At 40.7% G+C, this 16285-nt stretch overlaps 1 protein-coding gene across 6 annotated transcripts in view, besides 4 other annotated features; it reads left to right on the top strand.

The window, feature by feature from the left end:
* The window catches only part of XKR6 (XK related 6), a 305789-nt gene that overhangs the window by 61685 nt on the left and 227819 nt on the right, over window positions 1–16285 (top strand). The window lies entirely within an intron of this gene.
* Window positions 545–1046: an enhancer, noted in NCBI's record as "H3K27ac hESC enhancer chr8:10996613-10997114 (GRCh37/hg19 assembly coordinates)". NCBI's record gives its function as "activates a minimal SCP1, AML or CMV promoter by ChIP-STARR-seq in naive H9 embryonic stem cells {active_cell/tissue: H9 hESC(naive)}" and the evidence as "EXISTENCE:reporter gene assay evidence [ECO:0000049][PMID:30033119]".
* Window positions 596–890: a silencer, noted in NCBI's record as "tiled region #1954; K562 Repressive non-DNase unmatched - State 21:Repr". NCBI's record gives its function as "represses a minimal TATA promoter and a strong SV40 promoter by Sharpr-MPRA in K562 cells {active_cell/tissue: K562}" and the evidence as "EXISTENCE:reporter gene assay evidence [ECO:0000049][PMID:27701403]".
* Window positions 15695–15754: an enhancer, noted in NCBI's record as "active region_26999". NCBI's record gives its function as "activates an Ori minimal core promoter by ATAC-STARR-seq in GM12878 lymphoblastoid cells {active_cell/tissue: GM12878}" and the evidence as "EXISTENCE:reporter gene assay evidence [ECO:0000049][PMID:35858748]".
* Window positions 15995–16084: an enhancer, noted in NCBI's record as "active region_26998". NCBI's record gives its function as "activates an Ori minimal core promoter by ATAC-STARR-seq in GM12878 lymphoblastoid cells {active_cell/tissue: GM12878}" and the evidence as "EXISTENCE:reporter gene assay evidence [ECO:0000049][PMID:35858748]".

The raw sequence follows: 16285 nt of genomic DNA, 5'->3' as shown, positions 1-16285 counted from the left end.
ATCTCTTCTTTTTTTTTTTAATTAAAAAATTTTCTTCTTCGAGCCGCCTGTTTCTCTTAAAGCATTTTTGTGTTTACGTGTTCTTGTCTTCCATATAATCTTTATGTATAAAACGAGTTTCTCCTTTATTTGTACTTCCTAGAGATTTGCCCGCTTTTTGAACTTTAAAAAGGAAATCATTCTGGCTTACCTTCGTTCATGGCTTGTATCATTTTCACATACTTTAGCTCAGTTTGAATTGTATTTTCTTCAGTGTGCTTTCCTTGTCTGTGGGGATTTTGCTGCTTAAATCTTTCTCTCGTAGTAAGTTTGTGTGGGGTCTGACCTCAGTGCTTTCGGTGCTTGTTTGTATGTGACGCTAGTTTTCCTCAACTCATGGAAGGAGACTTGGGAGATACACTGCCCTGTTACAGCCCCTTCGGCTGTGGCTTTTGTACAGGTTTCCTGCTTCCCCTCTCCCAGTTTTACCTGCCTTTTCTTTGTCCCTGTCCCTGTTTTGCTCCTTTTTGAATCCAGTCCCAGCACTTTCTCCTCAGTGTGAGGCCTTGGCTTGGAGCGGGAGCCCTGGAGCATCTGTTTTCCGAGTTCCAGGAGGTGAGGCTCATCTAGTCCCTCGGACTGCACTCCCTGTCTCTGTGGAGTGGCCAGATCCCTCCTAGTAGCAGCTGCTGGCAAGAAATGGGTCTGCTGTGCTTTTCAGTGAGTGCCTCAGGCTGTTGGGGTGTTCTGCCTTCCCGAGAGCCCATGCCTCCTCTAGTGGCTGGTGCAGGGGCAGTGACTGCTGGGGCCTGGTCACTGCCTCCCTACCTGCGTGTGCCTTGCTGTCCACAGGATTCTTTGAGTTACGTAAGAAATGATGTCTGACTTTGGGTTTTGCTACTTATTCTGCTTTTATATTTCATTTAGAGAAAATTATAGTTTTGTACATAAAAGTGAAGAATTTTATCTTATTTCATGGAGGAAAGCATCTTTTATAAAATAACACCCTTGTTGTGGAGGCCAAGAGAGTAAAATTGCCTGTTAAAGCTTTGTAATTTGCATTTACTATTAAAGGTTAATGGTTTTATTCTGAAATTGCCATAGAGTGGGTTAGAGAACTAATTGCTTTTATTAATCATTAACAAGTTACTGAAAATTATCCAGAATGTGGCAACTAGCTAACTATATATTAGTGAATATGAATATTGTTGAAAATTTCATCTTGAGGTCAGGTTTTTTTTTTTTTTATTCTGCCGGTGAAATGGCCCAGATAACTTCATTGTAAAAATATTCTGGCTTTGGAACATAAGTTATTTGTTTTATATAGTTTGCCTGTTTAGAGAATATAGAACATTTCAAATAAAATTAGTCATTTTGTGAAAATTCAGAGGACTGGGAATTTAACTGTCCTTCTGGCTGTAGGAATCATAATCTCCCCATTTTCATCAACCTGAAGACCTCTTGGTTGTAAGAATATTTGGGTTTTGATGTTTTAAAAAACTGATTATTTAAAAAAACTGATGCAACCTTTGTTGCATGGAGTTGAGGAAGGCCCAGGAGGGAGGATTAAAATTAAATAAGAGACAGTTTTGCTTCTTAATGGTTTCTCCACTTAATTATTTTAGTAGGAATCTGAAATCAAATATAGAATGGAAAACTAATGTAGCCAAACCATCTGAGAGCCAATAGTAGAGACAGACATTAAATCACAGCACTTGTTCACTAGCAGTTTGGGTACCTACAGTATGCTATATTGAATGATAATTGTTAACAGCTAGAAACTTGCTTATAAAATGTGGTGATGTTTCTTTATGATAGATGCCTGACCAGTGTCCTCTTCCCTCAGTAAGGTGGTTCTAACTCATAGTTGTTCATACTAATGGGAGAAGATGGTGGGAGAGTCTTATCATCTGCTAACATTTCAACATGAGACACCACACATGTGTGTCCTAAGTAGGTGATGCATTGTTGAAGTACCTGCAGGATTTTCGTATGATCTTTGCATTTATAATATCTTTCTGGAATGGGTCTTAAAGTCAGGTTTGAGCAGGTGCTTATAGCATGTAGTCAGATTCCATGGTAGAGGCAAGCATTCTCCCTAAGAATGTTGTTTACGTTGAAGACAGCGATGGAGGATCCCACCCTTCTGCTCTGATGTCTTCCGAGGTAGAAGGGGTTGCTGACGGCTTCATCAGGGCATTAGAGAGAATGAGCCTGGTGGGTTTACTGTGATCAAGGTCGAGTTGTGTCACGAAATAGGATTTTGGACCTAAGTCTTATTCTTTAGTTTATTTAATATATCAGTCTTTTTCCATTATTTCCTCATTTGCCTTAATTGAAGATTCTAGAGTTGCGGTGCAGTTCAGAAAGCCTGAGGTTTAAGGGGAAATGGTAAAGAGAAAGAGGACCGGAGCAGGATTCGATTCAGAGCCAACTGGTTTTCTTCTTTCCTATTTCAGGGGAGTAGCTTCTTCAGCAGACTCTCCGCTGCTTGTGCTCCACATTGCATTGCTCACACCATGGCATGGTGTTTCCATTCATTGTCTCCTGAGTTCATTTGGTGTAGAAGAGCTGGTTCTAAAGAGAACTTCTCCCTGCTGTCTTTTTCTTCCAGAACACTGGGGTGATGGGTATACCGCAGCAGTTGCCTGGCCGTCTCCTAGGTTAGTGTAGCAGAGATTCTATTCTCAGATAAGACTTCCGTGTCGGCTGAAGATGTAAGGGACTGTCCACGTTTGAGGGAGAATTTCTTCTCACTATTCTAGCTAGAATATGTGAATGAAGAAAGATTTCTATTATCCTGGACTCCTTTGTATTTTTTATAATTGTTTTCTTTTTCTCACTTATGCTCTGATATGTATTGGTTTCTTGAATAAATTAAAACTTAAAGCACTGCTTTAGTAGACATTTCTGGAATTCCTGTCTCCCGCTTTCCTCACCACATACAGCTCTTCTCCACTGCCTACAGCTGTATGTTTTAGCATGATGATGGATGGATGGACTGGAGCTAGAGCAAGGTTAACCACATATGCTCTGGTTTCAGAAACATCAGAGAGGGAGGTGGTGACATTTATAAGTATTCATCTTTTATTTACAAATTTCACGCACATTTGTAGTCTACTGTAAGCAACATAGTGTCTTCTACCATCTTTTTCCTCTTAAGGGTCAACACTACTATTCTATTTCATATTTACCATTTTTTTCTTTTAAAAGAATTCATGTGGTGGGTCATTGTAGAAAATTTAGAGAATATGCAAATATTGAAAAAGAAAAAGAAATGATGCAACCTGTAACCACACTGTGTGTAGGTGTTCTCTGTGTGGGTATCTTAGTTTGGGCTTTTATAACAGAAATATCATTGCCTGGGTGGCTTAAACAATGGAAATGTATTCCTTCTGGTTCTGAGGTCTGGGAAATCCAGGATTCAGATGCCATCCGAGTTGGTCCTGGTGAAGACCTCTTCCTGGTTGGCAGAGGGAATGCGTTCTTGCTGTCTTCACGTGGTAAAGAGATCATCCCTCTTGTCTCTACTGATAGGGTACTAATCCCACTCATGAGGGCTCCATCCTTATGACCTAATTAATAACCTTCTAAAGGCCCTACCTGTAAGTACCATCACAATGGGGGTTAGGGCTTCAACGTAGGACTTTTTTTTTTTTTTTTTTGAGACAGAGTTTCGCTTTTGTTGCCCGGGCTGGAGTGCAATGGCGCAATCTTGGCTCACCACAACCTCCGCCCCCCGGGTTCAAGCGATTCTCCTGCCTCAACCTTCTGAGTAGCTGGGATTGCGGGCACCCGCCACCACACCCAGCTAATTTTTAGTAGAGACAGGGTCTTGCCATGTTGGTCAGGCTGGTCTTGAACTGACCTCAGGTGATCTGCCCACCTTGGCCTCCCAGAGTGCTGGGATTACAGGCGTGAGCCGCCGCGCCAGGCCAGGAATTTTTGAAAGACATAAACATTCAGTCCCTAGTAATGGAGGAAACCAGCATGTAAGTCCTATACGTAAAGTCCCATAAAGCTTTTCATCCTTTTTTATTGCCTCGCAGATACTTCCGGTGGTGGGATGCACTAGTTTTTATGTTCTAAGAAAGAAAAAAAATGGCAATAATTTATAAGGTGCCATCTATTGTAAGAAATATCTCAATTCCATAGATAAAAGAATGCCTCTTAGAATTGTTGAAACACTGGTAACTTTGAGTTATATAAACAATATATTAATCTATTCCTTTAAAATGTTATCAGCCTTTTTAAGTGGTTTTTGCATTTTGGGAGAAATATTTTCTGCTTTTAAAAATGTACTTTTCTGTATTTTTATCTTGTTTAGTCTTCCTTCCTTCCTTCCTTTTATTCTTTTTTAATTATTTAGATCTTGAATTTATATGAAATTTTTTTCTGTATGGTGGTTTTTTCACTTTTTTCTCCTTTTCCTTCTTTAATTTTTTTCTCCTTTTATTTGAAATTCTACCTCAGAAATTACACATGTACATGTTTTCAGACATTTTTTCATGAATTCACCCATTTTCTGTTCCTCTGTTCATACCACACTATTTTAGTTAATGTGATTTTAGAATATAGTTTAATATCTGATAACAGCAAGAATTAGAAAAAGGCCTAAATGACCGATAATAGATCAACTATTTAAACTATAGTAAAAGTCATCTTTCTTTGGGTCTTCCAGTCCTAATTGTTACAATGATATTTAAAGATAGCAATATTAAACTGTAAGTAAATCATGATTAACTTTTGGTAACTTTATTCTATCTATCCTGGGGTAGATTCTAAATTACAGGGTGGCAGAAACTCAATATTTTTGTCAATTAAAAAATTTAGGGCTTTTTGGCCGGGCATGGTGGCTCACGCCTGTAATCCCAGCACTTTGGGAGGCTGAGACTGGCGGATCACGAGGTCAGGAGATCAAGACCATCCTGGCTAACATGGTGAAACCCCATCTCTGCTAAAAATACAAAAAATTAGCCAGGCTTGTTGGTGGGCGCCTGTAGTCCCAGCTACTCGGGAGGCTGAGGCAGAATGGCGTGAACCCGGGAGGCGGAGCTTGCAGTGAGCCAAGATCGTGCCACTGCACTTCAGCCTGGGCGACAGAGGGAGACTCCGCCTCAAAAAAAAAAAAAAAATTAGTGCATTTTCTATGCATTTTTGACATTTATATACTTAAAATAAACAAATACAATCAAAATTTGTAGCCAGCCTTTTTACTTCAGCAGAGTATAATGGAAATATCTTTCTGTATTATTAAATGTCATCCTATGACATAATTTTCTATGGTTGTATAGCATTTTATGTGGTTGTACTGTAGTTTAATTAGTTGATCTATTATTGGTCATTTAGGCCTTTTCTAATTCTTGCTGTTACAAATAACACCACGGAATACATTTTTGTGAATATAGTATTGTCCATGATTATTTCGCTGGTAGGTTAATTTCTTTTGGGGCTGTGTGTGTGTGTGTGTGCGTGTGTGTATTCAGATAGCCTTCATAAACGGTTGTACCAGTTTACACTCCAACTCACAGTAAAAAGAACCATCCAATCTCTTTTCCAAAAAATATAAAAATATACAAAATGTAAGTCTTCTGTGTTTCAGTTTCCTAAAAATCTTAACAAATGCCACACATTCATATGGCACCCACTGAATGCCTGCCATTGTGCCTAGGAGACAGAAATGAGTGCATAGAATTGTAACTTGTGCAGTGTTTCCACTTGGAGTAGTCAATGCCAAGTTGTCCAACAGTGTATGATGCTACCCTTTTCTCTGTATCCTTGCTAATACTTATTAGTTTCAGATATTTTCATTTTTGTTAATCTTGGCCAAAGATACATATGACAGAAGTCTTTGTTTTCCACGCCCTTAAGGCATTGGGATAGGGTATGGAAAGGGAGGTAATCCAGATGGACAACAGTAACACACACTGTGATCAGTGCTATGAAAGAGGTGGGAGAGGGTTGTTTGGGGACATAGAGGAGAAGGTAAGGGTGGGCAAGGAAGGTGTCATGAAGGAAGGGAAGCTTGGCTGTTTTGAATGTAGAGTGTAAGAGTTCTCCAAATGAACCAGGAACCAGGGTGTGGTGATGAAGGCCATTTATATAGAACAGCAGCACGTTCTGGGGCTCAGGGCTGTGGGCCTGAAGGATGCATTAGGGGAAGTGCAAGTAATTGCAGGATGAGGCTATTTGATAGAAGATCAGGTCAAAAACATAAGAGACCAGCTCATGAATAGCACCATAGACAAAGTTGTGGGGTTTAGACTTTATTCCATAAATGGGAGGAAGTCTTGCTGGGTTTTAGTAGGAGCCGACATGGTCTGAATAGGTCTATGATATAATGGAAAGCATAGAGTTAATTATGTTTTGGATGTGGGGTGGTTGTAAGACCTGACATTTCTTAGGGAAGTAACATTGGTCTTAAAAGGAATCAGGCTATTGAGGACATGGAGGATTTTCAACATAGGGTATTTCAGCCACCTGCCTATTTCCAAAGGAGGAGGTATAGCCCTGCCAGCATGCTTTTCCCAGCAAAGGTTAGTCTATTCTTAGACACACAATTCTTTGCTGAGTCCTAGCCTGTACTGTGTTAGCATTTATTCCTTTTTCAGTCTCCCCGGAGAGTGTGTACTCTGAGAGAAACAGCATTCCCGCCAGTTCAAGGTCCATACTCCGAAAGGTCTTGGACATTCCTAAGGAGAGCTTGGTCTCCTCCTAGTTTTTGCCCTCTCTCCAGGAGGCAGATCTTAAGGGTATTGTTCACATGCTGTGCCCCAGGGTCCTCTGAGTTAGGTCCAGCTCAGAGGCCCTAATCATGACAGAGGAACGATTATTGCTACAGTGCACTTCCACCTTGCCTCTCACAAAGGAGGGCCTGATGTGAAGCTGACGCCGTATTTTTGTAGATCTGTCAACCTGTGATTCTAGCTGGTTACAAACAGAGCAATGATCATGTTTTGATACCTTACTTCTGATGACTGAAAGCGATAAGCTTTTTATAAATGTGCGTTTAGGTTTCAATTCCTCGTACCCACACCCTCTCCCTTGTATGCTTGTATTTAAAGCCAACTATATTCATATATTTGCTTTGCAGTACAACTTGAAACTCACTGTCTCCTCACTATAACATTAGATGTCAAATGAATTACTTTTTGCCATTTTTCTTACAAGATTTTTGATCTCAAAAATGTGTAAATTTATTTTTAACTCTTCTTTTTTACTTGTATCTTTTTAGTCTAAATTGAAAAGCAACTTTTGTCTTTAGAGCATTTATTTCTGGCATCTCCATTGGAAGATTTTTTTTTTTTTCACACATCATACAAAGCATTACAGGTGAAAAGAAATGTAAGTAATAAAAAAAGTCTTCCAAGAAAAAAAATGTGCGTGTGTGTGTGTGTGTGTGCGTGCGTGTGTGTGTATGAATGAAGGGACAGAGCCAGTATGAAGAAAGTAAAAGTTGAAGATTAGGCCATTGCCAGGTATGACATAGAACTTTAAGTAACAAAGTTGACCAGACGCGGTGGCTCGTACGTGTCATCCCAGCACTTTGGGAGATCGAGGTGGGTGGATCACTTGAGGCCAGGAGTTCAAAACCAGCCTGGCCAACATAGTGAAACCCCGTCTCTACTAAAAATACAAAAATTAGCCTGGCGTGGTGGTGGGCGCCTGTAATCCCAGCTACTCGGGAGGCTGAGCAGGAGAATTGGTTGAGCCTGGGAGGCGGAGGTTGCAGTGAGCGATCCGAGATTGCACCACCACACTCCAGCCTGGGTGACAGAGCAAGATTCCGTCTGGGGGAAAAAAAAAGAAAAAGAAAAAGAAAGAAAGTAAGTTATTTAGGTTTGGTTAAGAGGAAACTAGTACAGACTGTAGAATAGTGTTGTTTAGACAGTAGCTCTGTAAGTACCACCTGTGACTGTGATGCATTCACTTTGATCTTGAGGATAACTTGTCTCAAAGACAACTGATTACTTGATTTTATGAGATCAGGCTTTTCAAAGTATGGGCCTGGCATACCTGGGAGCTTGTTAGGAATGCAAATTTTAGGGCGCTGCACCAGACCTACTGCATCAGAATCTCGGGTCAGTGGAGTGCAGCAGTGCTGAAGTTTGAGACCCACTGTATCAGAGCACAGAATGCAGAGAAGATAATGGCTCTTCGGGCCAGCAGCACTAGGGGAAAAACATACACAGTCATGTATCACTTAACAATAATGTTCTGAGAAATGCATAGGCAGTCTTGTGCCAACATCATGGACTGACATACACAAACCTAGATGGTATAGTCTACTGCACACCTACACTGTCTGGTATAGCCTGTTGCTCTGAGGCTTCAAGCCTGTATAGCACGTTACTCTACTGAATAGTGTAGGCAGTTGTAATGCAAAGGTAAGTATTTGTGTATCTAACCTATCTAAACATAGAAAAGGTGTAGTAAAAATATGGTATAAATAATCATCTGGGACCACCATTAGATATGTGGTCCATCATTGACCAGAATATTGTTGTGAATGTGTTGCATGACTGGAAAAGGAGAGCTAGACAACACTGACTACTTCAGGGGAAGAGAACTGGCGGCTAATGGCAAGGATGAAAGGAAAACTTTTTATTGTGTACCTTTGTTCACTTTTTGAATTTTATGCTTTTAAGCCATACAGAAATATTTTTTAAAACGTTAGCTTTATTTACATCATGAAGTTTAAGTATGTTTCTCAGGAATTTTCTTCTTTAACATCATAAATAAAGAAAAACTCAAAAAAAATGATTTCATCATGCCTTCTATGTTAATTACTCTTTCTTGTATTTTACATCTTTCCAGTAAATTTCAGTTCCTAAATTCACACACAGTTCCACATAGGAAGCTAAAGAGGCATAATCCAGATTAAGAACCAAAAATGAAACAGAAATAGGATACAGTTGAATCATCTGTGTAACAAATAAAGAAAAAGCCTGGGAACTATAAAGCTATGGAAAATGAAAGAGGCTCACTGAGATGAACCAGAGTGTACAAATGCTGAATTCAATACAGTGCCAAGTATTTAGAGTGTTTTTTTGCATTGAGGTTATTGTGGCTGTGAACAAGGATTACCATCCACAGCTAGAAGAGAAATCCCCCGGGACAGAATCTCTAAAACAGGGTCCTCAGTTACATAACTAGCGATTTATGAAATGTGCTTATATTGTATGTGATGTCATGACATCATTTCTTGGTCTTCTGCTCAGAATTAGGTAGTTTGACTATAAAATCTACTATTTGGGGACACATTTGCTGCTCTGCAAGGTTACTGTTACCATTGCTGCAGTCAAGTGGCATATACTTAAGGGACTGGAGTCCTGAAGGTCTGTGTTGATTCTGGGAGGTGTGCACATATGTGGGTCCAGTGTTCTTTACAAAGGCCCCCTGTGTGGCATCTGTCGTACTTCTTATTTGTTCAGCATATCCCTTGGCTTGTGATGGAAGATACACAATCTGTACCTTTGTCTGAAGGAGATACCAGCTCCTGAGTGGCCTTTTACATCATCCTTAGGTGGGGATAGTTAACTTAAAAAAAAAAAAAACCGGCGAGGGAGAAAAGGCCGTCTTAGCCATAGTTGGCAGCCCCTAGCCCTTTAGCCTAAGGAAGTCTACAGAGACTACGGCACTTGGGTGCAGACTTTTAATGAACCCATCTTTTGTTGTTTTTGTCCATTGCACTGTCTGTGTGTAACACACACGTCCCGGTTCTCGCCCCTGATCCTGATGGTTCCAAGGAGCGTGGATGGATACTTTCAAGACCAACCAGACTACTACGTGGCTTAGTGTAGATATGGCGATAAAACACTTGTGCTTTGGAAAACGTAAAAATCCCGAACTTAGATCTTGACCAGTAAGTGAAGAGGAACTGAATTTTAACTATTTGCTGAAAAATCTATCATTTTGGAAGCATTAAAAAAAATTAAACTGTAAACTGAGTGCACACATCTTAACCCTAAATACATACACACATACACACAACCAGCCACAAAATAGTGTTATTTCCTTAAATGCCAAACACTGTCTAGTTCTAGAAGTGAAAAGGACCTTCTTGTCTTTTCAGAAGTGTGTGTTTTGAGTATGTAATGAGATTACCTTTCTGTGGCTTTGGAGAATTAATTTCAGCGCTTTATTGTCAGATCTTCTCTGTAAGAAATGTGATAGGGATTTCCCATTCAATCTGGAACTAAGAATTCAGATTGACACTTGAGCTTTGTACCTCAGATAGCGTTTTTCCTCATCTCCTGTTATATATCAAGCAGCTGAGATTGGTTTTTAAAAAAGTGAAGATTGAATTGTCTTCACACATTTATTGTGAACTTGCAGAAAATGGAAAGGATTATGCTTTAAAGACAGTTGGCTTGGCTGGATAGAAAAGATCCCTCTGTCCTGTTTCCCTGTCCTCCTTCCCACATCGATTTAAAAAATTAGATGCAAATGCAAAATCCTTAAATTATAGATTTATGATAAATTTAAATTCTGGTAGAATCAAGGTTTTATAACATTTAAAGTGTCTGACACTAAGTGTATATAATCTTTTAAGAAACGTCTTCTTAACAGCGCATGGTATTCTGTGACTGTTCGTGTACCATGAATATTCTTATTGGGTTCTAGAGTTAGTTACTGACTCTTGAAGATGGGCATCTAATGGTCCTCCTGTGGAAGTGGAGAGCAGCTCTCCACTGTTTGATAACATTTAAAGCCAAGGGTGAACCACTCAAGAAACATTTGGTGGTTATAATATTTTTTTGTTGTTGTTAAGTACCATCAATAAAACTGAAAAATCTCTTAAGTACCTGACTCCTGCAGTGATACAACTGCAGTGATAAAACTTTTAGCTTTTTACATCAGGGGTATTAGGTATTTTCTCACAGAAATAGCCTTTTGAGGTGAAATTCACATAACATACAATTAACCATTGTAAAATGAACAATTCAGTGGCGTGTAAGAGTATGTTTACAATGTTGAGCAACCATCACCTCTGTCTAGTTGCAAAATGTTTTCATCACTCCAAAAGAAACTCCTTTATTCATCATAGCCCAAAGTTGGAAGTATTTTCTTGATTGGGCTCTTGATTACATGGATGCATCTGAGTCATTGAATTGAAGCCTAAGATGTGCTTAATTTCACTGTGTGTAAGTTTCACCTCAGTTAACAAGAGAGAACAGAACAAACCAAAAATCTTAATTCTTTTGAAAAAAAGACTTTCTGGCTGCTTTATTAAAGAAGCCAGGGGAACAAGGTTAAAAGGAAATCAGTTAGCAGTGACCAAGGCAAGAGATGATGGTGGCTTGGCTGAAGATGGTGACAGTGGAGGTGGTAAGGTGATCAGATTCTGGATATATTTTGAAGGTTGAGCTAATTTGGTCAGCTGATGGGCATAATGGATGTGAGGGAAAGAAAGTTGGAAAGGATGATGTGAAGATTTTTAATGGGATGGAATAGGTGTTTAATGAACAGCCATTTAACAACATCAGGGTAATTTCATCTTGTGTATCATTCTCTACAACAGGGTTATACTCTAGGACAGTAGAGTACTGCGGGTACTCTAGGTGGTACTTGGATAAACATCATTAAAACTGCCTCACTTTGATGACTAAACAACTGCTTTCCTGCAGTCCCACTTAATGAGATGTACTACTAGAACTGGTCATTCGGAAGATCAGGCATTTGGTTTTAAATATGCATATACCTGTTTGACATCTGAGATGGGCTATCAAATAGGCAGTTGTGATGAAGGAGACGGGAGTTCAGAGGTCTGACTGAGACCTATAAAATCTGGAGCGTCAGCACAGATAGTAAAGCCCTGAGATTGAATGACTTTCCCACAGGAGTGAGTGTAGACAGGAAGGCCTGGGAACTGAGCCTGGATGCACTGGGGCTTTAGAGGTCAGGGAGAGGAGAAGAATCCAGCAAAGGGGAGTGCGAAGGTCTGGCCAGTGGGGTAAGGTGAAAACCAGATCAGTGTGGTTTCCTGTTTCTAGTAGAAAAAGCTCAACCAAACATTCAGATTGTCCTTTACGTATTAACTTCATTCTAGCTAATTTGTTGTTTAATTAGTCCCGTATTAATTGGTAAAGCCGTAAAGATTTTGATGGCTTAACTCTTCTATTTTTTACCCTCCACTGATAAATCAAATGCATGTCGTTTTATGTGAAAACTGAAATAGAAAAATGCAGTCTAATTTTAGTGTGAACTATGCATTGAAATAGCCATGTCCTCCTTAGGTAACAGTGTTCAAAATTTTAAGATAAAATCGTATTGCTTCATTAAATTTCAACTGGTTAACGTCAAATCAGTGTTAAAACTATACCGTAATAGCCCTGGGGTAGACACATTAATGGCGCCCCCCGCAGTGTCCATATTCCAATCCCCAGACCTATAAATATGTAACCGCACATTGTAAAGGAGACTTTACAGAGGTGATTAAGGATTTGGGGATGAAGCAGTTATCCAGGATTATCTGGGTAAGGTGGGCCTGATGTAGCCACAAGGGGCCTCCTAAGTGAAAGAGAGAGGTAGGGTGGTCAGAACTAGAGAGAGGTTTGAAGGTGTTACACCACTAGCTTTGAAGGCAGAGGAAGGGGCCACAAGCCAATGAATATATGTGGTCCCTAGAAGCTGGAAAAGGCCAGGGAGTGGATTCTTCTCTAGAGTCTCCAGAAGAAATGTGGCCCTTCTGACACCTTCATTTAGTCCACAGAACTATAATTTATCTTAGTTTAAGCCACTGGTAAGTGTAATTGTAATTGTAATTTGTTACATCTGCTATAGTGAAACTAATACTGAAATTTAGAAAAGATGGGTAACTTATTATGTGGTGAAGTTTAAAAAAGATAAGTAACTCGTTGAAGATCACATAATTAGAAAAGAAAGCAGTAGAGCTTGGCCTTGAACTCAACCAGTGTGACTCCAGAGCTTGTAGAACAGAATAACCACCTCCAAGGCCAGCTGAATCTGACCACAGTCTGGTGGAATTCTAGTACATCTCGTTAAGAAGTGGGATTGCCGGAAGGGAGTTGGTTATTCATGAAAGTGATGATGTTTATCCAATGTACCACCTAGAGTACCCTTAGTACTCTACTGTCCTAGAGTATAACCCTGTTGTAAAGAATGATACACAAGACAAACTTACCCTGATGTTGTTAAATATATGTTAGATGACCAGTTGCTTTGATTTCTTTGCTCAATAAACATTGGATTACAGCTGGTTTGCTGTGTGGCATGCCTACATGGAGGGAACACACTGAGCCAATGATTTCATCATCTGGGTCCCTTTGGTTTATATCAGTTTCCAACATGACTTGTTTGTGGGGCTTGTGGGAGGGGCACATACATCGGCCCCAGGATTCTAACATCTCCTGGTCTCTGAGGTTATAATTTTCACTTAACATTGTCGAGTTGGCATTTTGGTTTTAGTCCAATGGTTCAGTTCTTTGAAACTGACTCCAGAGATGGCTCTGTTCATTAATAGATTGTTTTGTTGACCCTGTGAGGATTAGTCTGTGGATCTTGGAAATTCGGCAGGTGACTACAATTCTAGAAGGCCTCTTGTGAGATATAAGGTGTTTTCCTTAAGTGACATGGCCCTGCGTTGCAAAGCTGAGAAGTAATATGAAGGAGCGTTTTGTAAGTTTGAATCTCTATAATCAAAAACCAGACTAATGACACATTCGCTTTTAGAACTTAAAAAAAAAAATTCAAGAACTGAGTAGTAGGCCAAAAACAAGATAAAATGTAGCATAAGAAAATGTAGAGTTTTGTACTTTATCACTTAAAAAACGCCAAAGTAGGCCGGGCACAGTGGCTCACGCCTGTAATCCCAGCACTTTGGGAGGCCGAGGTGGGCGGATCACAAGGTCAGGAGTTCAAGACCAGCCTGACCAATATAGTGAACCCCGTCTTTACTAAAAATACAAAAATTAGCCGGGCGTGGTAGTGCACGCCTGTAATCCTAGCTACTCAGGAGGCTGAGGCAGGAGAATAGTTTGAACCTGGGAGGCGGAGGTTGCAGTGAGCCGAGATCATGCCACTGCACTTCAGTCTGGGCGACAGAGGGAGACTCTGTCTCAAAAAAACAAAACAAAAAAAAAAAAACAAAAACCACCAAAAAAAAACTGCCAAAGTATAGGTTATAGAAGAGCAGACTTACTTGGTGTTTGCAAGAAAGACAAAGAGATTTAGAGTTTCCATCAAGTTTGTTGTGAGTTACTAGGAGGTAGTGCCAGAGAAGCAACATGGCATTAGGCTGCATGGGTAGAAGTATAGTACTGAGAACACGGGAGAGCATCGGTTTTGTTGTACTTGGGACTAAACATTCTGAGGGTCCTGGACGTTTTATGAGAGGCTTTGGTAAACTGAAGAGTGATGTAGGTACAGATGCACAGATGTAGAACAGTGGACAGAAATGGAAATATTTAACCTGGAGAGGAATTTAGGTTGGAGGAAGGGAACACAGTTGTTTTTAGTTTTTTGCAGGTATGGAATTTGTACTGCAATTAAGGAACAGGGAAAAGTCCTCTCTGTCCTTCGCACGGCTGTTTATTAGGTATTTCAGTTAGAGTGTATAGGTCTCAGGAAGCCATGAGGATCTTCTCTGGGTGGTGACAGGACTCACATCATCTCCGTTATGGCCCTGCAACAAAACTTCACAATTCTGTATGTTTCCTGCCTAGTAAGCTCCCACCTGTTCTGTGGTAATTAATCTCATACTCAACCATGGAGTTGTTTCTAGATCTTGGTGTGTTGTCCTCCCTCCCCTTTGCCTAAAATCAATAACCTGAGCACACCTAAAGGTGTCTTCAGGCCTCGATGTGCCCTGTGAATTGTGCGGGGTTCTAGGGTCTCTGTACGTAAGGAGATGGTCTGCATTTGCCTGGCCCCTCTTGCAGGAAGAGCAGCAGCGGTTGCCTCGCCTCCGGTCCTCAGCTTGGTCCTTAGCAGGGTGAGCAGGGCCAGAGTCATGGGCATGTGACCTGTGCACTCCCTCATGGCCCCACGCTTGCTTTCACATTTTCCTACTGGCATCAATACTTTTTTTTTCTTTTCTTTTTCTTTTTTTTTTTTTTTGAGACAGAGTCTTGCTCTGTTGCCCATGCTGGAGTGCAGTGGCGTGATCTCGGCTCACTGCAAGCTCCACCTCCCGGGTTCACGCCATTCTCCTGCCTCAGCCTCCCGAGTAGCTGGGACTACAGGCATCTGCCACCACGCCCGGCTAATTTTTTTTTTTTTTTTAATAGTAGTGACGGGGTTTCACCGTGTTAGCCAGGATGGTCTCAATCTCCTGAGCTCATGATTCACCTGCCTCAGCCTCCGAAAGTGCTGGGATTACAGGCGTGAGCCCCTGCGCCAGCCCAGCATCAATACTTTTTTTAAAAAGTGCCCTGTATTTTCCTCATGCCCTGGAGATAATGGAGCCGTCTTTTACTCACTGCCCACTTCTCATCTCTGTCTGCTCCTGCTTCCTCTTGTTGGCTTCCTGTGCCTCCCTCCAACCTTCTCCTACCCCCCTGCAGTGTTTTAAACTCTCTTTTCTTCTTAATTTCTGTTCGCCTCAACCAACCCTAAAGTGCTCTTGTACTCACAGTTAGGCTTTTATAATTGCTTGATCAGTTTATCAGTCAATTTCAGTATTTTGTTGAGCTTTGACAAAGATTTTTATTCTAATTCTATGGAGCCCATGTAATAATTGTTTTTTCAGCTTCTGCTTGTGACTTCTCTACTTCAAAAAATGTACGTGCTTGTTTCTGCCAGTTACATCCCATGTTTCATTGGATGTGTGTACTGTGTTCACATCGAGTTGGCCCCACCGCTGAGTGGGTTATTGATGATCTCAAGAGTCCAGTAGAAATGAAGGGTAGAAACTTAGCCACATCCTGGTTTGTGTTTTGCCTAACAGAGGGGTTTCACTTTCCTCTTTGGTAAGATGAATATGCTTGATAATAGAATAGCATTAAGGTTGGCTTTTTTCTCCCTCAAATGATTAAACTGTAGTTTCATATGTAAATGCCAGTAAATTAGAATCATTCTAGTAGGGAAGATAAAGTAAATAAGTAAAAATATAGTATGTTAGTAGGAAATCGTGCTAGAGAGAGAGAGCTCAAGCAGGACAGGAGGGGCCTAGAGATTGCTTGGGATTTGATGAAGAGACAGGACTGTTTTAGAGAGGCTGCTCACGGCAGTGCCTCTGAGCAGGTAGCACTGGAGCCGATCCTCTGCTGCGATGAGGTGGCAAGCCAAGAACATCATGAGGGAGGGAAGGGCAGTCCCAGAAGAGAGAGCACAGTGCAGGTGC

The sequence above is a fragment of the Homo sapiens genome, chromosome 8, assembly GCF_000001405.40.
Source record: "Homo sapiens chromosome 8, GRCh38.p14 Primary Assembly".
In the NCBI taxonomy this organism is placed as follows: Eukaryota; Metazoa; Chordata; class Mammalia; order Primates; family Hominidae; genus Homo; species Homo sapiens.
This window is presented reverse-complemented; position numbering and strand designations above follow the sequence as displayed.